This window comes from Homo sapiens, chromosome 7, assembly GCF_000001405.40.
Source record: "Homo sapiens chromosome 7, GRCh38.p14 Primary Assembly".
NCBI classification, from domain to species: domain Eukaryota; kingdom Metazoa; phylum Chordata; class Mammalia; order Primates; family Hominidae; genus Homo; species Homo sapiens.
In genome coordinates, this window is record NC_000007.14 from 155,524,760 (window position 1) to 155,549,356 (window position 24,597).

General features: G+C 51.8%; 1 protein-coding gene across 5 annotated transcripts in view, besides 2 other annotated features; it reads right to left on the bottom strand.

The window, feature by feature from the left end:
* The window catches only part of CNPY1 (canopy FGF signaling regulator 1), a 45,431-nt gene extending 23,631 nt beyond the window's left edge, over window positions 1-21,800 (bottom strand). For 4 of the 5 annotated variants that reach the window (NR_163158.1, NR_163157.1, NM_001369814.1 and 1 more), the window contains exon 1: window positions 9,001-9,103. Coding sequence is in view for 1 of the 5 variants with exons in the window: in NM_001393663.1 (NP_001380592.1) it covers window positions 21,072-21,170 (99 nt within the window). In the remaining 4 variants the exon portion in view is untranslated. Of the gene's footprint in view, window positions 1-9,000; window positions 9,104-21,071; window positions 21,185-21,669 lie in introns of those variants that run through there. The other variant, NM_001393663.1, reaches the window with a different exon arrangement.
* Window positions 17,328-18,128: an enhancer, noted in NCBI's record as "H3K4me1 hESC enhancer chr7:155334782-155335582 (GRCh37/hg19 assembly coordinates)". NCBI's record gives its function as "activates a minimal SCP1, AML or CMV promoter by ChIP-STARR-seq in naive H9 embryonic stem cells {active_cell/tissue: H9 hESC(naive)}" and the evidence as "EXISTENCE:reporter gene assay evidence [ECO:0000049][PMID:30033119]".
* Window positions 23,415-23,916: an enhancer, noted in NCBI's record as "H3K4me1 hESC enhancer chr7:155340869-155341370 (GRCh37/hg19 assembly coordinates)". NCBI's record gives its function as "activates a minimal SCP1, AML or CMV promoter by ChIP-STARR-seq in primed H9 embryonic stem cells {active_cell/tissue: H9 hESC(primed)}" and the evidence as "EXISTENCE:reporter gene assay evidence [ECO:0000049][PMID:30033119]".

Here is a 24,597-nt window from a genome sequence, read left to right on the forward strand (position 1 = left end):
AATCATCCCCAAACCATCCCCCCCACCCTCCCTGGTCATTGGAAAAATTGTCATCCATGAAACCGATCCCTGGTGCCATAAATGTTGGGGACCGCTGCTCTAAGGGGCCTGAGGGAAGACTCATAAAGGTTAGGGACCACTGTTCTAAGGGGCCCAAGGGAAGATTCAGGTCTATTAGGTGGTGGCTAGCACAACCCTCAGCACCTGGCAGCACAGCTGCACCTGTTGTATTTATGAAATGGAACACACAGGCCATCAGCACCTGGTGAACTACCCCTAACTCCATGCTATGCTACCATCACCTTTCTCTCTCTCTCAGCACTTCACACCCTCAGATGATGGTTATTTTTGTCGTTCAGGAATCTTGAATCGCCTGTTTATTTCTTCTCCCTGAGGATAGTATAGCATTTCATCTTTCTTTCTTTTTTTTTATTTTTTGAGACAGAGTTTCACTCTTCTTGCCCAGACTGTAGTGCAGTGGTGCAATCTCGGCTCACTGCAACCTCCGCCTCCTGGGTTCAAGCGATTCTCCTGCCTCAGCCTCCCGAGTAGCTGGGATTACAGGCATGCGCCATCACGGCCGGTTAATTTTGTATTTTAAGTTTCTCCATGTCAGTCAGGCTGGTCTCAAACTCCTGACCTCAGGTGATCCACCTGCCTCGGCCTCCCAAAGTGCTGGGATTACAGGTGTGAGCCACCACACCCAGCTCATCTTTCTTTATTCCCAAATTCTAAATGCAATGTTTCCCCCTCTTAAACAGAATATTTGGTTGATCAGAACATTGCGCTTCTGCTCATGTAATATATTCTCCTACAGATTTTCAAATTTGTCCCAGCCAGTACCGGTAAGACCACAGACTCCATCTCAGGCCCACACCCAACAGGGCTTAGTGTACTGCAAAGCTACTGTCTGGATAAACAGGGCTTCCTAGACCCCAAAGCCACACTATTTGTGTCTTATCTATGAAATACCAATTCTGATCTTGTGGACTCTTTTTATATCATGCTAGTCTTGATCAGCTAAAACCTGACATCCCAGACACAACGTCATTAAATTAAATACCCAGTAGGTGAACAGGTGCCTAACTCCTCTGTTTTTCTTGACATTGTATCACTTTCCTAGAGTCGTCACAAAATATCAGAAATAGTCCCCAACTCCTCATAGAATTAACATGACATAGCTATTATCAACTACTTATTCTTTCATTTTCCAGACATTGAGAACCTATTATGAGCAAAATCTTGTGCTAGGGAATGGGGGTACAAGATTAAAAATGTAATTAAGGATAGAAATGTGTTACAGTACATACACAGCTAGAATAAAATGCAGAATTTAACAAATATCCTAAAAAATGCTATCAAAATACTTTTGATGTTCAGAAGGTGTGAGAGAATATCTGATATCTTATTTTTCCACAAATTCATCTTTGTAAAAAAGTGACACAGTGTCATTCCAACTCAGTGTGGGGGAGCAAGGCTTATTTGATAAACGGCTCTGGTACACGCTGTGATGTTCACCCAGGAAACACCCTCCATGTCGACTCCACAGGTAGACGGAAAAGAAAAGCATGCAGTAATGGAAGAAAATTCAGAAAGCGATTTGTGTAACAAACGGCTGGCAGGGGACATTCTCAAACAAGACGGGGTGCCCAATGCCTTCGTGGACGGGGAGGTGTCCATGGGGGAGAGGAGCCACCGCACACAGATCACAGCCAGAGGAGGCATGCATCAGGCGGGACAGGGAGAGTTACTATCCCCACATTCACAATGGCATAAAAGACAAACCACCCAGTAGAATACTGGGCAAAGGCTACAAATACACACCTCGAAATAAGAAATCCAAATAGCACGCTGGTGGAAAGATGCTTAACTGCACTGGTAGTCAATGAAAGGGGAATAAAGGCAATAGCGAAATACCATCTTTCACTGGTTAGATTACCAAAATTAAAAGAATGCTATTACCCAGCGCTGGCAATATGCAAGAAAGCAGCCTCTGTCACCCACTGCTGGCTGGAATATCCATGCTGCAGCCTGCAGAGAAGCAGTCCAACAACATGGGTTAGTGTTAAAATGTTCCTACCTTTGACCCCTGCCTTTCAGGAATCTGTCCTGGAGAAATCCAATCAACAATACCTAAGGATGCAGCACCACGGAGGCTGCAGCGTCACTGTGTGGTGGCAAAACACCAGAAACAATATGTGTCCATCTGTAGAATGGTCTTCTTAACTGGAAAATGTCCATATCCTAGGCAGCCATGCTTTTCTTTTCTTTTTTCTTTCTTTCTTTCTTTCTTTCTTTTTTTTTTTTTTTTTGAGACAGTCTTGCTCTGTTGCCCAGGCTGGAGGGCATTGGCATGATTTCAGCTCACTGCAACCTCTACCTCACGGGTTCAAGCGATGCTCCTGCCTCAGCCTCCCAAGTAGCTGGGACTACAGGCACCTGTCACCATGCCCAGCTAATTTTTGTATTTTTAGTAGGGATGGGGTTTCACTATTATTTTAAAACGTCGAAGCCAAAAACCTGCATAGCTGCTGCCTGGTGTCTGAGCGACTGCAGTGCTGGCAAGGGCAAGGCTCTTGACTCTGATGGGAATGGAGCGGGGTCGGGAGGTAGACATGCGTCTTTTCTCTTATCTCTTGCTAAAATCATCATGTGTTATTTTGATAATTAATTTCTTTTTTTTTTTTTTTTTTTTTTTTTGAGGCAAGTTCTCACTGTCACCCAGGCTGGAGTGCAGTGGTGCAATCACACAGCTCATTGCAGCCTCGTCCTCTTGGGCTTAGATGATCCTCCCTCCTCAGCCTCCTGAGTAGCTGGGACCACAAGTACACGCCACCACACCCTGCTAATTTTTTTTTTTTTTTGTATTTTTTGTGGAGACAGGATCTCCCTGTGTTGCCCAGGCTGGTCTCAAAATCCTGAGTTCAAGCTATCCTCCCGCCTTGGCCTCCCAAAGTGCTAGGATTACAGGGCTGAGCCACGGCAGCTGGCCTTAACATTTTTAACAAAGAAATATTTGAAAACCCACATAGAGTAATGAGACATGTGAGTATTCAGCCTACCTGATTTGCACAGGGCCTGGAAAGCCACACACAGGGGTCCCGGCCGCTGCTGGGCCAGTGCAGGGATCTCCAGGAGCCTCTCCTGAGGCGTGGCCCTGGTGGCCCCGAAGGAGTTCAGGCTCCTTCCCCAAACCTTCAGGCAGCTTGAGAGCTCCTTTGCTAAATAGATGGGCTTATTAGTGGGCCTCAGGAACCCCCTCAAATATTAGAAATCACCATTAATCCTGCATCGTTGTAGAGAAGGGACAGCAGAGCTCTCTAGAACACATACGCCCAGTCTCCATGTGGCTGGAGAGGGCTCCTTTCCTCTGATGTTTTCAGAAAGTTCAGGAAAAAGGACATGAGAAGGGCCCAAAGAGCCTAATTAACTTTGACTTGACTTCAACAATGGGCAGGAGAATAAGACCCCTTTTAATATAAAATTAAAACCTCTCCACCAGAGCCTTATCCTCGCCAGCACTTTCTTTCATTGCTTTAAATTGGTCTTCTCGGCCTTGTAGGACTGTGGTGGGCGGGCCCAGGAGCCCAGACTCGCCCATTCTGGGCAAGTGTGTTCACATAGCTCTGACAATGCCAGCTCTCGGTCATTGTCACGCTTCCTTCTCTGTCCCAGGTTAAGCTACGCCGTGGGGGGATCAGCTGCTGCCAATGTGGAGGCCAAGCTGGGATCACTTCTTCATTCTAACTGGAGAGAAGGGAAGTTCAAGTCCAGCAGAGGGTGGGTGGGTAGACAGTGGCACTCAGAAATGTCAGCTGGACCCCTGTCCCCGCATAGGCAGGACAGCAAGGCTGTGGCTCTCCAGGGCCAGCTGAAGAACAGGACACTGTCTCCGCTGCCACAAAGCGTCAGAGACTCCCATCTTTGAAGCACGGCCTTCTTGGTCTTCCTGCACTTCCCTGTTCTGTTAGAGACCTGGTTATAGACAAGGCTTCTCCACCTAAGAAAAAACAACTTTGGGCTGGGCGCGGTGGCTCACACCTGTAATCCCAGCACTTTGGGAGGCCAAGGTGGGCAGATCACGAGGTCAGGAGATCAAGACCATCCTGGCTAACATGATGAAACTGTGTCTCTACTAAAAATACAAAAAAATTAGCCAGGCATGGTGGCAGGCGCCTGTGGTCCCAGCTACTTGGGAAGCTGAGGCAGGAGAATGGCGTGAACCCAGAAGGCGGAGCTTGCAGTGAGCAGAGATCGCGCCACTGCACTCCAGCCTGGGTGACAGAGCGAGACTCCATATCAAAAAAAAAAAGAAAAGAAAAAACAACTTTGTCCCAGCCATGAGTATTCTGGGCTTCCGAACCTGGAGGTTCCGAAGACCCCAGGAGAGGGAACTGGACAGTCAGCTCCCAGCGAGTAGCCAGAGGCTGGAAGTAGCTGTTTCCCAGTCTTTCATGAGAAACCAGAAGTCCGACGTTCTACGTGAAATCTTGATCCACATTATGTGGGCTGGATTTGGACCCTGAGCCTCCAACCATCCACGTGGCTGGGTCCTTTGGCCATCACCCTCACCCATCACAGCTTCAGATGCCTCTGGCCTGTGTTTGTTTCCTAACCTGCTGTAACAAAGTGTCCCAAGCTAGGGCCTTGAAACAACAAAAATTCACTCTCTCACAGCTCTGGAGACCAGGAGGCCAACACTGAGGAACCAGCAGGGCCGTGATCTCTCTGCAGGCTCAGGCAAGGGTCCTTCCTTCCCTCTTCATGGTTCCGGTGGCTGCTGGCAACCCTCGGCATTCCTTGGCTTATGGACGCATCACTGCCCCTCTGCCTCCCAGGGCCCTTGGCATTCTCCCCAGTGTGTGTCTTTGTGTCTCCATCTTATCTTCTTATAAGGATGCTGGCCACTGGATTAGGCCCTGCCCCACCCCACCCTGCTCCAGTATGACCTCATCTTAACTGACAACATCTACAAAGGTTCTATTTACAAATAAGGTCACCCTTCAAGTTTCTTTTCTTTTTTTTTTTTCTTTAATTTTTTGAGACAGAGTCTCACTCTGTCGCGCACGCTGGAGTGCAGTGGCATGATCTCAGCTCACTGCAACCTCTACCTCCCTGGCTCAAGCGATTCTCATGCCTCAGCCTCCCGAGTAACTGGGATTACGGGCGCCTGCCACCACGCCCAGCTAATTTATTGTATTTTTAGTAGAGACGGGCTTTACCATGTTGGCCAGGCTGGTCTCGAACTCCCAACCTCAAGTGATCCACCCACCTCAGCCTCCCAAATTACGGCATTATAGGCATGAGCCACTGCATGCAGCCCACACTTCAAGTTTCTGAGTGGATGCAAATTTGAGAGGCACTGTTCAATCCAGTGCACTGCTTCACCGGATTTGGGGCACGGTTCCACAACCACCTTAGCCTCTTCCTGTCCTGCTGATGTGTCTCTCTCCACATCGGCCCTAACTATAGTCAGAGGTCCACAACTGGCAGCAAAGGTTTTTAAATGGAAATAAACACACATCACCAGCAGGGTCTTTTTTTTTTTTTTTTTTTTTGAGACAGAGTCTCACTCTGTTAGCCAGGCTGGAGTATAGTGGCGCAGTTATAGCTCACTATCGCCTTAAACTCCTGGGCCTAAGCAATCTTCCTCCCTCAGCCCCTCTCCCCTCCATGACCCCTGCACCTGCCCAAGTAGCTAGGACTACAGATGTGTACCACCATGCCCAGCTATATCTTTTTAACAAAGTTTTTTACAAATGGGATCTTGCTATGTTGCCCAGGGGTCTTGAACTCCTGGCCTCAGGCGATCCTTCTACCTTAGCCTCCCAAAGTGCTGGGATTATAGGTATGAACCACTGCCAACGGCCAGGCAGCCTCAGATCATTCTTTATATGGCTACAGCCACAACTTCCTCTAAACATTGGCATGCTGCATTTGAGTGAAGAAAATTCCTGACTTTCATAGAACAGGGTTTCTCCACCCTCAGCACTACTGCCGTGGGGGACCCAGTGATCCTGTGCTGTGGGGCCGCCCTGTGCACTGCGGTGCTGAGCAGCGTCCCTGGCCTCCACCCACTGCATACCAGGAGCCTCTCCTCCCCTCCAGTTGTGAAAACCAGGAATGTCTCCAGCCACTGCCAAATGTCCCTTGGGGAACAAAACCATCCCCAGTTGAGAACCACTGGCATAGAACCTAGGTCCAAAAGTAGAAACTTGGGCTCAGTCATTCTCCTGGGACGAAGGCTGTCTGCTCTCCAGTCTGATGGTCTCCCTGCCTTGGCCTTCCGCATAGTTTTGTTCAGGTGGAGCCCTTTGTGCAGTTTGTCTTGACATCCTTGGCTATAAACTGAGCACAGAACCAATCTGACTGTCCCCAGACACAACCCGCCTAGTTCCCACAGGCATGCGTGCCCTGCGTCCTCAGGCCCCAGCTGAGAGCCGGTGCTGCAAACGGTGTGACCACTCACTCTCTCCTCTAGCTGTTCACAGGCTTCTCATTCCAGAAAGCCTTTTTTGAAAGGAAAATTTGGGCTCACACTATGCCAAAATTCTTGACAAGTAATTGCCTTCCGTGCTAAATGTTGATGTTTTTAGAAACTGAGATTCAAGAAATAGAATCTAAATAACATGTAGGTAATTAGGCTAGCCACGACATTTAAGTTTGAGAGGCTTCGACAACTAATTTAGAAGTTTTAAAACAGTGTCTGGATGGCGCAGTCTGGTGTTGGACGCCGCCAAGCCTTCAACCGGCTGGTCCTGACTTATAGGCTGCTCAAAGTGGGTCCTTCTCTTCCTCTCTCTGCAGCTTAGGATATCGGCACTTCCCTGTCAGATGGGGTTGTGCCCACAGAGACACAGCCAGCGTTCAGAGAGGGGATAATTCCTTATTTGTACTTCTGTTTCCTAAGAGCAGCCCTGTTGACCCTTTGGGAGCTTTCTCTGCATTCAGCTTCACACAATCACACCAGGCAGACAGCAAACAGGGAATCCCAGCAAGAATGTCAGGCCCAATGGGTGCCGGCCTAAGAGAGAGCCTGGGCAGAGCTCCAGGGCGGTGCCTCAGAAGTGGAGAAAAGGCTCGTTTTGCTTCACCAGTTCCCCAGAGCCACCTAAGCCCTGAGCCTCTGGCCACTGTCAGCCCGGAAGCAACAGCAAGAAGCCCCGAGCAAGATGAGTGGCCCTCACTGTGCGCACTGTCACTCCCCCTGCGTGGATCAGGTTAAAGTGTGAGAACCGGATCAACCTGGATTCCAGACTGACAGCTTGAGCAAATAAAGCAAGATATGCGTCAGCATCTGCTCAAACTAATACATAAGATTTTGCAGAGATCAATGTCTAGGAGGATACTTCATAAGTTAAAATGATACTAACATTTAGAGAGGAAATATTGGTTCTGAAAATTCAGCGTGATTGGTTTTATAGCTGATTGATGACAAAGCTAGCTTCGTGGGTTCTGCTCACAGAAGAGAGCTGTGTCTCTGTGTGTCCCTGCAGGCTCTGTGTCTTCCTGTAGGTCACTGCCTTTCCCAACTGTTCTTAAACAGCCTTCTCCAGCTCTTTAGAAGGAGGACCCCAGATGGGCCCGGGGCCGTGGCTCACGCTTGTACTCCCAGCACTTTGGGAGGCCGAGGCGGGCGGATCACAAGGTCAGGAGATCAAGACCATCTCGGCTAACATGGTGAAACCCGTCTCTACTAAAAATACAAAAAATTAGCCGGGCACGGTGGTGGGCGCCTGTAGTCCCAGCTACTCGGGAGGCTGAGGCAGGAGAATGGCGTGAACCCGGGAGGCGGAGCTTGCAGTGAGCCGAGATCGCGCCACTGCACTCCAGCCTGGGCGAGAGTGCGAGACTCCGTCTCAAAAATAGAGGGAGGACCCCAGATGATCCACTGCTATATTTTATGGTTCCTACCACCTCCTCCTAAAATAGGTTGCTGAGAATTTTTTTTTTCAATCAAATCCAACTGAAAAGAATTTGAATTTTAAAATCCCATAATACCTCTACAATATCTTCCCATATTATTACAATGGAAAAACTGCCTCGCTCATGGAGTTCGGTCTGCAACACACAGACCGAACTTGTGTGCTTGTGCCTCGCCGTCTCCTGGCTATGCGTGTTGGGAGTCCCTGGGAACCATGACGGATAAAGTTCATCTCATCAGTCAGGAAAATTCATGCCCTCACACACCACCCGTCTGAGTCTACAGTCAGAAAACAAAACGTGCTCATTTCTCCTTTACCGCTATTAACAACCAAAAGAATCCCAAATCGATACCCACTCAACGTCCTTCTAACAGGTGCAAGCTCTGCACATCGCTAGAGGATCTTCTATTGCAGTTAGAGTAACCAAGCATACGCCGTACAGTGACAACATCTGCGTGGCTCACACCACACAGGCAGCCGCAGAAACAGCGCCTCCCAAACGGCGCGGCCTCGCTCACCCTCAAAACCCACTCCGCGCCCGACGGGAACGGCTGGAGGGAGGAAAGAGCCAGGCACCTCTCGTTCGGGGTCTGACATTGTCACCTGGCAGATAAGTGAGTCTGCTCGGATGTGCCGGCTCGGAACATGCCCGTTCGTCAAAGAGGGAGGGGAAACAAAACGAGCTTGTGCCTCATTCCCGGTGGCTCTCCACGCAAAGTTAACGTTTGTTTACTCTAAGCATATGCCCAGGTGAGGCCTGCACAGCCACCTCGCCGCGGGTGCAGGGCGCGCCTCAGAATGACAGCGAGGTGCACGCTCCGGCCCGCGCAGAGCGGGGCCAGCTCCGCCACCCAGCGCGCGGGAAGCCCCGCAGCACCAGCAGGGCCCGTCGCTTCGCTCCGTCCCGGTCCGGCGTGAAACCCCCGAGGGGAAAAGCGGGTATCAAATGTGAATTCCACTCGTCCACAGCGCCGGGCGTTATGAAAATCTGAGCACCTTTGACCGGAGAAGCAATAGCTATGGGATTAAGGCGAATTTCTTACGGAGAGGAGAAAGATGTGCAGTTTGTAATTACCTGCTCCCTGTAGTACAGTCCGTCCTTCACGCCTGGATCTAACGGGACAAACTCTCAGCGGCTTTGCTCTCCCGGCATTGTTTCAGCACCCACCAAGAGGATTAAAAATAATCTCTTTCCCTTTTAATTTTGTGTCCCCCACATCCCCTCCTCCTCCCCACATCCCCTGGGGACAGCATAAATTTTTAATCCCTGAGGTTTGGGAGGGGGAGGGGGTGTTAACCCCTTGTTGAGGTGGCGGCCGGAGGACTGGAAGCCCGGGGGGAAAGGTCCCCCTGCTGGCCCCGCCGGGAAGAGCACTGCGTCCCCCTAGGACACTGACATGCCTGCCCTGTATGTGCACTGCAGCGGGTTAGGGGCCCCAAAACAGGTAAGCAGGAAAAGCCGCCTTTCCTTTCCCCTGACCCAGGCACAGTCTCCTGATGGCCTCAGATGCCTCCTCTGGTGCCCAGATAGGCTGCCAGCCCACGCAGCTGCTCCACGCCTTCCCTGTCTCTGCTCTGAGATAGGTGACTTTGAGCTCACACACACACACTCACACGTGCATGCACACACACACATGCACACACACGTGCACAGAGGCACACATGCACACACGTGCACACAGGCACACACACGCATGCATAGACACACATGCACGTGTACACACGTGCACAGACAAATGCACATGTGCACTTGCATGTGCACACACAGACACACACACACTCGATGCGAACACTTGCTCCTCTTCCCCCAGGTGTGAGTTTCCACCCTGGCCTGATGACGTCAGGCCTTAGCATGTGGGACTGACCGGGAAGGCGGATCAGCTGCAGGGGCTGAGGTCTCAGCCTGCTCCACTCACAGCGTCGCGGGATGGCCCACTGCACTGAGCGAGGCAGCCCTGGTGGCAGGTCCGGGCAATTCATAGAATTGGGTCCTGAACCTCCCCTACTGCCCCCACAGCAGCAAGGGGCTGGCGTGGAGACTGGAACGTAATGGGACTCCGGCCTCCGGTGAAGGCCACAGTCAGGCCACAACTAACATGCAAAGCACAGGGCTTTCTGGGCACTGAGGGAGCGGGCGCTGGGCGGCTCCTGAGCAGGAAAGACCAGGCTGGGGAGTCAGAGCTCAGCCTCTGCTCGGTGTCTGTGGACAAGAGATGCTGGAGGGCATCACCTATCTTCCTGGGAGGATGTGACTGAGGAGGTCGGCGGTTCTCTGGCTCTGGTGGGCACAGGACCCCAGCTTGGGGAAAGGGAGGTTGAGACAGCCCAGCGGTGACCTGGCTGATGTGAGAGCAGGGCTGTGTTCAGCAGAAAAGGCAGCTGGATGCACAGCACATTGCAAAGGGCACGGAGAAGGCTCCGCTCAAAAACAAACAAGTGGCAAAACACTCCTGCATCCCCAATTCCCTAATGCCAAATCCAACATTTGTGGGGCTCCTGCCTTTGCCTGGTCAGTATGCAAGCACTTGTGGGATGGACCCAGCATTGGTGCCAGGGCTTCAATCATCATGGAGTATTAATGCCAGCTGTTCCTATGTGCCCTGCCTCCAGGAAGGTGAGCTGTGCCGGACCAACAGCAGAAGCTTCAGGGGAGAGCCTTCTCAGTTTGAACACTTGGGAGAGGAGGAAGGGAGCATTTCAACTGCAGATGAATCATGATCCAGAGATGGGAGAAGCCAAGAGCTTACAGGTGCACACACTCAGGCACAATGGCAGCCGAACACACACAAGGCATAAGGATACACTCAAGAAATGTACAGAATCCACAGGAGTAAGACAGAAAAGCTTTACCAAAGGACATGAAGGAAGCCGGGAATGAACAGAGCACATATCATGAGACAGGTCCAACCAACTGCCTCCCCAAAACCCCTTCTCCCTTCCTTGCCTACACACGAGGCCTGATTTAATCCTAGAAGGCTTCAAATAGGGAGGTGACACTCAGGGCCCATCCTACCTTCCACGGGGCTGCAGAGGCTGGAAAGCAAAGCCCTACACTTCCAAGACTCATTTGCAGCTGGAGGGTTCTATGGGATCAGGGTCGTGTCATTGGATGCATTCATCTGTGATTTGGAAGGCGGTGGACGGAGAGCCAGACTTCTCACCGATTCTGCTGTTCTCTGGTAAGCATCGTCTGCTATCATCAGGATTTTCTGGAGAAGACTACAACATCTTCTCATGGGAATCAGGTATGGGGAGGGTATTGTGGTATGAAGAGGCAGGTAAATTCCTTTCCATTTAAAAGAGCTCAAGTGTTTCTGAGATTTGCAACTGGAGGCTGGCAAGTATTTTATTTGGTGCAAGGTTTGGCTGTAGGTAGTAAACCCTCCGGGATGATATTCTGGGCTGGGCTGTCCTCACCTGGCGGGGTCAGAGGCAGTGGGGATCCAGGTGCCATTTGAAATGGGATGCTGTAAATCCATGGCATGCAGTGGTGAAACAGGGACTTGCAGCATTACCTGTGGTTACCTGGAGTGAAGTCCCCAGGGAAGGGGAGGCTGTGGATGACTGATCACCCACTGCAGCAGACAGGTCCTGGGCGGGGCTGGTTATTTCTGCAGTACTGGGAGGTTAGAAAGCCTACGGGCCGCTCTGTGCTTGAGACCTATAGTCATAGGTTTCAGGAAACTTCTCAGGTCACCAAATGCATCCAGGGCCATACTGAGGTGCCTTTCTTTGTCCCATGCTACCAGGCTTCTCTCCAGTGACCAGTGACCTGCTATATGGTCACCACACTCCACTTCTTCCTCCTCCTGGACACACAGCTCGACTGTTTCCAGCCCTTCTTCCAACTAGGTGAGGACATGTGCTGGAGTCCCAGCCGTGGAACGTAGGCAGAAGCAAGGCCCCTCCCTGTTAGCCCTGCCTGTAAACATTTCCCACAGAATCCTCCATGCTCTCTCTCCCCATCCACCTGCTGGATGAACAGGACTCGGGCTTGGAGGAGGAGGAGCCACAAGACAGAAGGGCCTGGGTCCCTGAATGACCAAGTGGAGCAGAGCCCCGTGCCAACCCACACTAGACTACGACATGAGCAAGAAGTCAACTCTCAACGCTCGTGGTGATCCACACTGACACCAGGCAGTGTATGATACTTAAACTATTCTGACAAACACCATCAGTAAAGAATCATGCCAGCAATTTAAATAAAAATGAGTGATGGTGTTTCTCTTTTTAAATAAGATAAAAGAGAAATAAAATAGAAGATGGTACACAATAAAAGCCACCAAATAAATTAAAAATGTATACAACCCCCAGTCCTAGGGATGTAAGGACCAGAGCATCCATCTGTTGATGCTTCTTGCTCTTCTTTGAGAGGAAAGGAACATGAGGACTGTAAGTAAAGGAGCCGGGGCTATTTATTACTCCGCATGCTAACATCTTCTCATGTCCTCTAGATGGTTGAGAGATGAGACCCACGTGTCTCAGAAGAGCAGGTCCTTGGCCAATGAGAGTTATGGAAAGAAGAGAGAGTAGCAGCAGAGATAAAGGGGGAAGCTACCTCCCTTCCAGCCTCTCCTTCCGAGGACTCTTAAAGCACCAAAGGACACATGCATGGAGCAAAAATAGAGGATTGCATCGGTTCCTGAGGCTGCTCCAGGGCCAGTGACACCACCAGGAATGAAGCTGGACAATTCAAGGAAGGGCCACATCACAGCTTTCTGTGGAATTTTTTTTCTTTTCTTTTTTTTTTTTTTTTGAGACGGAGTTTCGCTTTTGTCGTCCAGGCTGGGGTGCAATGGTGCGATCTCAGCTCACTGCAACCTCCGCCTCCTGGATTCAAGTGATTCTCCTGCCTCAGCCTCCTGAGTAGCTGGGGCTACAGGAATGTGCCATCACACCCCGCTAATTTTTTGTATTTTTAGTAGAGATGGGGTTTCACCGTGTTGCCCAGGCTGGTCTCAAACTCCTGACCTCAGGTGATCCACCCGTCTTGGCCTCCCAAAGTGCCGGGATTACAAGCATGAGTCACTGCGTCCAGCCTCTGTTGAATATTTTATACGAAACAAAATCACGTGTCTGTGTATAGTGTTCCATCTTCTTAAGAACAATGCTACTTTTTAGAATAGGAATTTCTACATTATCATGGAATTCTTTTGATTTCTAAAAAAAAACCTTCAAAACTTTATGTTTTAAATTTAACAAGTAATATGTTTATTATAGAAAAAATTTTAACAGATAAACAAAAAAAGAAAGAAAGGAGCTCAGCAGTAATACGCAGATACAAGAACTGTGACTATTGTCTCAGTGTATTTCCTGAGGCTCCCTCCTGCAGTGAACAGACACAGACACGTAAGAGGGCATCTGTATGTGCGGGTTAATAACCTCTTTTTTGCACTTAATAATAGGAAAATACCCTTCGGATTTTTTCACATGGCAATTTACAGGTTCCTGTGAACATCATTTTCTTGCACCATCATCTTTCTCAATTGTTGCTGAAGTAATTTTCTTATTAAGGTGGCATCCATGGGCCAACAGCCCTTGCAAAACAATTTAGGGGTGATCCCTGAAACTCCTGGTTGCTAAGTGTGGCCTCCAGCCCTGCAGTCCATCTGCACACCATCCCTTCCTCTTGTGCTTGCAAGAAAATGCAAGTAAGTACTAGGGACTGTTGCCACCAACCTCATTTTCAGACACTGGGGACCCTGCAGGCTGGTCTCACTGTCTCCTGGGCTCTCCGCCTTCACCCGCGTGTGACCCTGAACTGTGGCAGATCTGGGGACCATCCACCAAAGAGCCCTCCCACCCCCCTCCTGCTAACCCCAGACTCTGCCCCTCCTCACGTGCCCAGGACAGGCCACGCCCCCACAAGGCCCTGAGCTTGGGTCTGGATTGATCTGAGGGACGTCTGCGAATGCCCCACTTGCCCCGCAGTTGGTCTAGCCACAGGCGTTAGAGGCCCTCCTGACCCATGAGATATGAGGGGGAGTTCTGGGGGCTGGGGGTGGGAGATCCTGGACAAATGTCCTCCTTGTTAAAAAAGAGACCCCATGCAAAGCTGTTCACTTTTCTGCTCTGAGCACCGCCATGGGCTGACTCGCGCCCCCTCCTATTCACCTCCTGCCCACCCCACTCAACTCACCCTTCACTCTCTGAGACGTGGCGTTCACACTGGCGGCTGCTGAGGTCTCTGGGTCAGAGTGTGAGCTCCTATGGGGGAAGAATTCCTCCCCTAGTCCACACCACATGTAGACCCGGAATGCTGATCCAAAGGAGACCAGTGCCAGGGCACATCAGCAGGAATCTGAGCCCCAAGGCTGCTGCCACCAGGGGCCAGGAGCCAGCTTCGGGCCCCTTTCTTTGTCGCTCCCCACCCCACCCTGCCCAGCTGCGGTCCCTTGGTCCATAGAAAGCGTAGGCCGCTAAGCCAAAGCTGTCACTGCTGTAATATGAGGATTCAGAGGAGATGTTCTGATTTTCTTTCTGCAGAAGGAGTCAGGAATTGTTGTGGCATTGTTTGGGTATTAATAATCTTCCTAAATCAAATATCTTTAGGCTACCGTATCATGCTGAGGACAGCCATCTGCTATAGTGGCTTCCAATTTTTTGGACATGACCCACTTCTTACACCAAAACCCATTATATAAAGTGTCACAAAACATACTTTCCTTTTCTATAAGATGTACTCTGATATTTAATATATATTTCTACATTCTTGTATGCCACTACACGGATTTCATGGCCCTCTAGCGAGTAGGAAAATTGCTGATGGACTGAATCCCCCTGCACCTCCTGGCTGGCCTGATAGAATAGCCAGCCCTCTCATTTTGTCCATGTACAGTTGTGCAGGTTGCACACTGCACAGCTCCAGGATGTTATAGTGCCCTGTTGTTTCATAGTACATAATGGGATGGGGTAGCTCTGTCAATAGTGTGGGAGCAGAGGGAAAGCTTCCCTTCTGCTCCCTGTGAAGGCTTGCTGAAATGACTGAAAAACAGATTAACGGGGGGAAAAAAGCAGACAAACATTCATGTGTGTTAGCATGGGAGCCATATGAAATATGAGACTCCAACAAGGGCAAGATGGTTGAGACTTAAATACCCTTTTCATGGAGGAGAGGGAAGTGGGGGCCCGTGGGCCATTTTAGGGGAGAGTCAGTGATTCTTAGGAGAAAGGAATGGACGCAGGAGGCAGACATTATCTTGTCAACGATTCTCTTAGGAAACTGAATAGGACCAGCAAGTTATGGGAAGGTGAGGGGTAGAACTGCACCGTGAACACAGATTTTCTTCTTATGTGACAAAGCCTCCAGGGTCATCACTTTGAGCTGCCCTCAGAAGAACAGATGAAAAGTCTGGGGGTGGGGGTGACCTTTAGGCTTTTCTCTCCTCTGGTGGCTAAATCTTTCCTGGTTATTTGATCAGATTCCTCGGGAAGAGATCTTAAGACAATTGTATTTCTTTTGGAAAGAAGTTTCCTAAGTCGGATAAGGAAATTCCAGGGAGAGGCTCTCTGCACTTGGGGGCTGGAGGAGGAAACAAGGTTAGAAAGTCCAGAATTCTGAGACAGCTTCGAAGGACTTCCAATGTCCTTTAATTCAAGTGCTCGGCTTTGCCAAAGCACCGTGCACTGGGGTCTCGTTCTCCTCATCTTAGCGCTAGCAAATGGTATTGGAATTTTTCTAAATTAACTTATCAGCAAATTAAATTAATACTAATTTGTCAAAATTAAGTGAGTCACTAAAGCTTTCTGGGCCTCATCTGCATTTCTAAAATGAAGCTAATTACAGTGGCCCAGTTTACCTCCCAGAGTTGTGTTTTAAAGCTTAAAGAAGCATGAGGTGTTGGTGCAAACCGGATATTGGCCTCGTCCTCACTGTTGCTGTTGGTGCTTTCTGTTTGAACTTTCCAAGTTTCGCAGAGAGCGAGGCCTTGCTCTCACACTCAGCCGAGGCAGAGGACGCCCCTGAGCTCTGCTTCATCATTTACAATTCCCTCGGTGAACACACGTTTCCTGGGTCCCTGTGGGTAACACACGGCTTGCCCTGGTCATCCTGTATCCAGTGACTGGAGCTCGGAGGTTCAAAATCTAAAAGCAAATGTGAGCCCCTCGACTCCAGCTCCCTGACCCTGGGTGCCCCGCTGAGAGCAGCAGTGCATGCGTACCCTCATTCGGGAGGCCAGCCTTTCATCACTGGGAGAGGAGACAGGTAAGCAAATGTGAAGTAACTGCCTCCAAATTGTCTTGTGCTGTGTTGCCCTGTTTTAGGAAAGGTGCCATTAATCCAATTTGTTTAAAAAATAAATAAATAATAGGGAAATAACCGCAGTGCTGAGATGCTGGCTGCATTTTGCTGAACAGACGAGGCTTTGTGCCAGTGTGAGGAGCTACCGAGTGAAGACATCCCACCTACGGTGGCAGCAGGGGTGGTCTCCCACCTGTCCCCAACAGCCCCAGGCCAAGGAGGCAGCTCTCTGAACTCTGGACTTTAGTGAGTGCTCCCCCGCTGAGCCTCCCCGTTCCCGCTGTTCTGAAGACAGAGACCTCCGCGAGCGGAGCACGAGCTCCCAGCCTATCATGAACATCGAGCAAGACGTGGCACGTGAATTTCATTTCTCAAGGAGAATGGCACTAAAATCCTTGGCTAGGGAGAATGTTTCCAACAGAGCAAGGCAGTCAGTCCCCGGGAGCTGAGGTCCCTGTACATCGTGTATTACTAAACAGCTGCCCCTTCCATCCTCTCTGCTTCTACAGGCTGTCCCATAAAGTTGATAACATTGAAGACTTCTGAGCTAGCTTGAGAATGATGTTGATTACAATAATGAGCCTTATTTTCTAATCATTCCCCACACCACATGACCCACACCTTCCTCCCTTCTAGCCTGCTTGGCAGGTCAGCCTCAGATGATGAGGAGGGAGGCCAACCGGGCCTGGCTTGGAGGCTCCCCAGAGCCCCCGCAGTCTGCTGAGTGTGGGGCGACTGTCCATGGGTCTTGCTCTAACTCAAGGGAAGCTGGAGCACCCTTCCTCGAGGGTCTTGCTGCCTGGCTGGCCAGGAGGACAGTGTGGATGGAGCCACACACCCTGAGGTCCTTCCCAGGAAGGGAAGTCTTCCAGCCTCGCACCAGCCTCTATAACCATCACTCAAAGGTGGGTAAGCAGCCCTGGTACTCAGAAACCACGGCAGCCCTATAGAGGGGATGCTTTGCTTGAAGGGGCCTTTTAGTACTGTCTTTGCTGGGATTCTCCCAGGGCTGTTTACCTGGAAGGTTCTGGAAACACTAGAGTGGAGGGGAAGTTCTACTGGAAGGCAGCCAATGAACGCTGTGTTTGCAAGCCGGCTGCCATGACAGGGGCAGGGTCGGGGGGGCAGAAGTCTGCTGGGAAAATCCTAGAAGCCGGTGCAGAACACGTGCAGTGGGACGCTCGATGTGGAGTATTCACAACCCCTGCTGTAGGGCCTGAGAGCTGATTCCCTCCCTGCCAGGCTGAGTGCTGTCAGGCAGGGAAGGCGGAGCTGGGCAGGGGAGTCAGGCAGGCAGGGAAGGCGGAGCTGGGCAGGGGAGTCAGGGGAGCCCCAGGGAAAGCAAGTCCTGCTTGGTCCTGCCAGCTGCTCCCCGGACCTACGGGTCTGGGAGTCACCAGGCTCCAAGGAGTGACCCCCCAACCATGGTCAGAGCACCCCTTGCTCATGGGCGGGCGTAGGGAGCCAAGGAAGGAAGGTCCTGGGTGTGGGCATGGAAAGGCTCTTCATGGAGACCTCTGCTTGCCCTTCGGGGCTCACCCAAGCTTCCTGACTGATGCTGGGGCCTCACTGCTGGGCCTCACGTGGAAAGAGCCACTGCACACCCCTGGGGCTGGGGGATTTCTGTCTGAGCCACAATGCTGCTAGTGGCAAAGTATGCAGAGTAGAAAAAAAAGCGGGGTCCCCACATATCCCGGGGCTCCTGTGGTGCAGCCGGACCCCAAGACCCTCCCGCTGCTGAGAGGACATGCAGGCTGTCGTGGGCACCTGGCCCTCCTCTGTGTCTGTCCCAGCCCCACATCCACACCAGGGACTGAGCCAGTGCGGGCAGAGGCCCGCCTGCGGCCACAGCCCTTTCACTGGCTGCTCTCTGGGGGCCTCCTTTGACTCTTCTTCTAAGCAAGGGAGGCCTGGCCTGAGAGAAGCTGGTTTGCACATCTCCCCTGTCCACACTGCCCTCCCAGACCCACCCCCGCCCGAGGCTAGACGGAGAGAATAGCCCGGTATGGACACAGGCCGCTTTGCACACACTGGGTCCGCACAGTGCCGAGAGGCCACTCACTCGCTTTGCTTCTTCCCGTGGCTCCCCTTAGGAACTCGGATTCTCGGGGGAACCCGCCTCACCCCTCCCACAGAGGAACAGCCTCTCCAAGGACCCTGTGGCATCAGCACCCTCAGCTCTGAAGACACGGCCTGTGTTTCTTTCCAGCCTGACTGAGGTCCAGAAAGGAGAAAAAAGCAGGCAAGGGGTCCTGCCGCTCTGTGGCCAGCCGGGCCGGGCTGGGAACACCTCTGGCTTCAAGACTCCTCCAGGCAGGACAATGGGGGCCCGAGACCCCTCTCATTTGGCAGCTGTGTGCCTTCTTTTGTTCTTCACTGAAGGCCAAGCTGAGCACGTGCTCTGTGAGCTGCTGGGTGGAAGGAGGAGAGTAGCCCCCGCAGTAACACCAGCCTGGCCCCCATCCAAGTCCAAGCAGAGCAAGGGCAGAGCTGACTTCACACTGCCAGATCCCCTACTTCCGAATTTGGCCAAGTAGCCTGCTGACGGAAGAAAACAATGCCACAGGAATGTGAATCACAGCAAGGAAGAGTTTTCTAAGTGGGAAGGATGAGAGACCTTCTAGAAGTTTCCAGGGGAAGACAGTGGAGCTCTTTGAAGCATGAGAGTGCTGGGACGTGAGGGGGTCACTCTGCTGTGAGTTAGCCAGAAGCAGGAACTGCTGAGCCACACACCCACCGCCAGGCCATGCTGTTCTCCAACACAAGGGCTTTAAAGACGAGTTCTCCAACACGAGGAACCCACCCGCGCGCCTACAGGGTGCACCATGTTTGCAGAGAGAAGTCTCCGTGTGATGCTGGCCTGGGCTACTTCTGGCTGAGCAGGAGCCCTGGGCAGAAAGATCACCTGAGATCAGCACCAGCTCCTTGTAGCTGCGACTCTAAGATTGCCTTAGGCACACTGGTGAATGTAGCCGTCTAGCTGCTTTCAGTTGCTTTGCAGACTAAGTGTTCCTGGCAAAATCGGAAAAGCTATTTCAACTTGATCGCCTTGAAGTGGAACATCCTCCAAGACAACAGAAAGCAGGGGAGGGTGTGGCCCATTTTCTCCAGGCAAACTTAATTCCATTCTGGGATTAGACACACTGGAAAGGCTCAGGACCCCCAAACGTGGACTCCTGGGTCGCATCACTCAAGGATGCAGTGTGAATTTGAGGAGGGTGGAAGGTACAAGGTGCTGCCATCCCAGTCCCTGCACGGCCCTCCATCCGCTGTGGGAGCTGCGGCCACTTGGCCTGACTCCCCCCGCTCTCATCAGTAATGCAGAGATGCTATTCTTTCTGCAGGGTCATTGTCAGGACTAGAAAATCACTTAAAGGCTGTCGCCCAGCAGCTGTCAATAAAGAAGGGCCACCCGGCTCCTCCCCTTCCAGCCCCTTCCTCAGGGCTCTGCGGTCATTTCCTTGGCTCCCCTTTGTTGGGCCTGTAGAGAAAGACTTCCTTTCTGCTGGCCCAGGAGCACTAATGATGTGTCTGATAGCCCAGATTGAAGTTATCAAAATATTAAGACTCAGCTTATCTTCAAAGCTATGCTGGCTGGCACACACCCCCACATTACACATGTGGACACAATGCACACACAGACAGGCACTCACATCTTCCCTGGCCCTGCTTGACAGTGGGAATCAGCTCCCGGCTGGTGTCAGGGACCAGGACTGTACTGGATTTTATGGAGGCACATGTCCTGCATTCAGGTGACCACAAAGGACCTTGAGATTCCGGGGTGCAGGCGTCAGACCTGCAGCAGAGCAGCCAGTGGGCCTGCACGGGGTCCCTCCGGTGGACTTGCCAGACACGGCTCTTGAAGGATCCATCCTTGAGTGTGCCTTTGGGGAGGCAACGAACCCAAAAGGGACCCCTGAGAGCCCAGCCCTCTCCTGTGGGAGGTACTGACCTGTGGATGGAAATTCCTCCCTCATTCATAACTGAGGCGCATTAGAAGCCTGAGGTACTTTCTGTAAGGGCTGCCTGTCACAGCCCCACAGTTCAACCACGGCACCTGTCTGTGACTCTCCTTTCCTGCCCTGTCCTCTTCGGATGGGCACACAGCTCCAGGAAGACACGGACCCCACACAGACAGCCTAGTTTGCATTATTTAAGACAGGTGCAGTGCATCACAACAAAAGAAAGCTGCAAGAAATCCAGACCCACTTCTGTTTAGCTTTGAGTGAGTTGGATGATATTGGGGAACACCTTTCTAATAATATTTCTCTTAGAATGATGCTGAAATTGGCTTATGTGTTCTGGGCACCTAGTACCTGAGGGCTCAGAGGGGAAGGTGTCCCCTAATGGGTCCCGCCTGGTGTCTTAGACTCCACCCTTCCAGCGCCCCACTCACTGCCTCTGATCCTCAGGGGGAGCCCCTCTCTAGGTTGTGCAAGAACGTTTCTTCCTTCTCCATAGCCAACTGTCCGGTCTATTCCAGAAAGTGCGTCTTACAACCTGCACCCCCAACTAGAAATCTGCACATCTTGCAGTGGGGGAGGGAGTGTGGTACCCAGGAGAGGACTATTCTGCTTTGAGTGTCTCTAGGCCGCCCCTTTAGCCTCTTCTGGGCCCCCTGCTGGCCTCACCAAGAACCACAGACGCGCTATTTTTATTCTGATGAAGAACAGTGCCGAAATGTCTTTCGACTTGACGAGACACAAAATTTAGGTGCTGAGAGAGATACTTCAATTTCAAGCTTAAAGATTACTTTGGGTCCCCCAGGACTCAGAAGCAATTTAGAGCTGATACCCTGAACAAGAGAAAGGTTAGAAGATTAAGACCAACTGCTGTTTGGATAAATGGTTGGTAATTGCCCATATCCGCAATTATACACTGGCACATAATATCTTTTCCACTACCTTTCTCCTCTCCTGAGTCCCATCGGGATTGATTCGGAAGGATCCCACCTTGGTCTTCTTCTGCCGAGCCTTGGTGATGTCGTGCTCTATCTCGTCCATCAGCGCCCTGCACGCTAAACAAGACACAAAACAGCTGTGATCAGAGGAGGAGGCGAGCCAGAGCCGGGCCTGTGGAGTGGCTTCCTCTGTGCCACCCTCTAGCTAGAACAGGGACAGTGCCGACGTGCCCAGGACCTGGGGAGGACTCTTGTCCTCTGCAGAGTTTTCAAAGACAGTGAGACAGAGACGACTTTTTTTATGTTCCCTTTTGTACTTTGTGTTTTCAAAACCATATACAATTTACTTTTACATTTAAAATGTGCTTTTTTTTTTTTGAGACAGGGTCTCACTCTGTTGCCCAGGCTGGAGTGCAGTGGCACTATCTCAGCTCACTGCAGCCTCAACCTTCCACACTCAAACCATCCTCCCATTTCCACCTCCGAGTAGCTTGGACTACAGGCATACGTCGCCACACCCGGCTAATTTTTTTTTTTTTTTAAGAGACGGGGGGTCTCACTATGTTGCCCAGGTAGGTCTTGAACTCAAGCCATCCTCCTACCTTGGCCTCCTGAATTGCTGGGATTACAAGTATCAGCCACCATGTGCAGCCTTCAAATGTGCTTTCCTATTTATTCATTTATTTATTTTTTGAGACAGAGTCTTGCTCTGTCACCCAGGCTGGAGTGCAGTGGTGCAATCTCAGCTCACTGCAACCTCCGCCTCTCAGGTTCAAACAATTCTCCTGCCTCAGGCTCCTGAGTCACTGGGACTACAGGTGCTTTCCTGAAACACTGCAGATGCTCATCCTCTGAGTCCACAGGACTCTGGAAGCCCCTCTGGGTTGTCATAATTACTCCCAAGTAGCTTCTGCACTGTGGGAAAAGTGGGTCAAAACTGGGCCCTCCTCCAAAAGATACATTTTTGCTGGATTTGAAGTCAAAGGGGACTCTCTGAAATTTATTTTTATGGGAAATGTAGCTGGTTTTGTCCCCTAAAATCCCTTCTCCCCAGGCTGTGGCTGCCCAGTGGAGGCGGCTGAGCTGTGCCTTAGGGTCTGAACTCTCACAAATAAAAGATAAATGAGGTGATGCCTCCAATATCGGCCTCATTTGCTGAACTGAAAACTGATTCTGGCTTTCCTCTCTGTGGTTGGAAGTCAGCATGTCAGGACCAGCCCAAAGGGATGTGGGAGAAAAGAGACAGCGATGTCAGTGTCCTGAATGGCCACGGAGCAGAGGCCGCCTGCCCATGTGGACCGCTCCCCTGGCTGTGAAACGAGACCCAAAGCTTCCATCTGAGTCACTCTCCCTCTGTCTGTGTTTTGGTCCCTGTTAGAACAGCATAGCCTTTCTCTGCCCAGGACATGACTTTGGCACAGGTGACATTGCGTTTAGTGCTCCCTTCTCATCCTGTGTCCGAATGCGGGCACTGAGGGCACAGGCTGTGTGGATGAGGACAAAGGCCAGTTGTGGGCGTGAAGCTGGAACACCAGCATGTTCACTGCCTTTAGGTGTTGCTGGGTGTTGCATTCCACGTGTCGTGCCCTTGTGGACTCCAGGACCCTGTGGTGGTGATTCCAGCACTATCCCCATTTCACGGACGTGGCTTGGAGAGATGGAGAGACTTTCCCAGGTGTCTCCCTTACCCAAGGTACTACAGAAATCAGCAGCCGAGCCACTGTTTGAGGACACAGATGGCACTCAGTCCTCAGAGGCACACAGCCCGCGCTCCCTCCCTACCCTGCTCTTAGGGGTCAGTGACCTTCAATCCATGTATGAGATCATTGATCACTATGATTACCTGTTAGTGAGCAGTACATCTAACGATGTACTGGGCTCCTCTGGGGCCTGGAGGTCTCTGACAGAGTAGCCTGTCTCTCTGAGGCTTCCAGGAGGAGAAGGAAGTTTTCATGGCAGAGGCATGAAAACCTGTGTCTCGGGTGTCCACATCAGCACTTACTGTTTGGACTTGACGCAGTGCACAGGGGCTCAAAGCTACTGACCACAGGCAAGCCCCTCTTCTCTAGGAGCAGGACTTACAGCTCCAAGAACAAACACTTCCTTTCTGGCTCCCTTGAAGCTAGGCCAGGGCCTGTAACTTGGTTCTACAACCATGTGTTCTGGAATCTTCCTAAAGAGCCAGTGCTCGCCCTCTGCCCTCTCTGACCCACTATAGGTCGGAGCTCAGCTCAGGCCCCAGGACCAGGGTGGCCTGGGAGATGTCAGGGTGAGGAACTCAAAGGCGGGTCCTGGGGCCTGCAAGGGGAGAACTCTGTGCTGACCGGGACAGCACCCTCCACCCTTACGAGAGGGAGACAAGCATCCAGATTGTCTAAGCCATTGCTATTTTGAGTTCACTACACTCACTCACCTTCCACCTCTGGGATGGAATAAGAAAGGACCCTCCATGGTCAGTGCTCCCCAGTGGGGGATCTCGGTCAGCGCAGGGCCAGGGCTGCCAGGGGAGCGTGGGCCCAGAATCCCGGGCCCACAGGTGGTGAACAGCCCAGTAGGCTCAGATGAGGAGTCCTCTAGGAAGAGCCGGCGGTGACCATGTTACTGCTGAGAATGGGGCCGCCTGGGACCCCTGAGGACAGCAGGAGCCCAGCTCCCACACGAGATTAGGAGGAAGAGGGATGGGATTGTCTGATGTCCTTTACCCTGGCTCCTGAGAGAGGGCAGATGGTGGGAAATGGTGTCTTGGAAGCAGAGGCCAAAGCAATCAGCACAAAGGAGGGGTGGCCTCTGGCCTCCAGGCCAACTTCAGAGGAGAAATGCATAGCCCGAGAGGATGGCCGCCAGCCGGGTGTGAAGGTTCCCCGAGAACCGGGGTGGGCCCAGCCCAGCATCTCCAGGGGCCCAGGTGGCCTCTGCCCTGACAGCCTCCTCCAGCCCTTCCTGGTGGACCCAGGAGCTGGAGATGGTGCGTCCTCACCTCCTGGCTGGCAGAGGACAGTGCTGGCCAACAGAAAGAATGTGGCCTTGCCGTCAAGTGCCAGCGTCAAACCCTGCTGGGCCATGGATGAGCGTCACCCGGCTCTACCCAGAGTCTCTCCCATCGTAGGGAGGGTGTTGCATGAGTCTGTAAGTGCCTGCCAGGCGTGGCCTGCCTGCTGTCCCCTTCCTGGCCCCACTGACTGCTTGGAATCCCTGACTTGGGCTCAGTGACTAGCTTGGGACCCCGTCTCTCCTCGGCATCTCTCTGCTTTCTGTGCCTGCAGACCCGTGCCCAGACTCCTGCCCAGCCGCCCCACCCTGAGCCCGGACGCTCCCTGTGCTGTGGTCACTGTGGGTGTCCTTGGCTCCCTGGATCCCTCAAGGCTGGACTTGCCGGCAGAAGTGGAAAGGGGCCGGTGAGTGGGCTCAGCTCACAGGGCTCTCTGGGTCAATATTTTAATGTTCTGCTGCCTTCATTTCAGGCCCACATTTCACAAGCACCAAGATAGGCCGTGAAAAGGCAGAGCCCCTTGTAGTGCACACCTGTCATC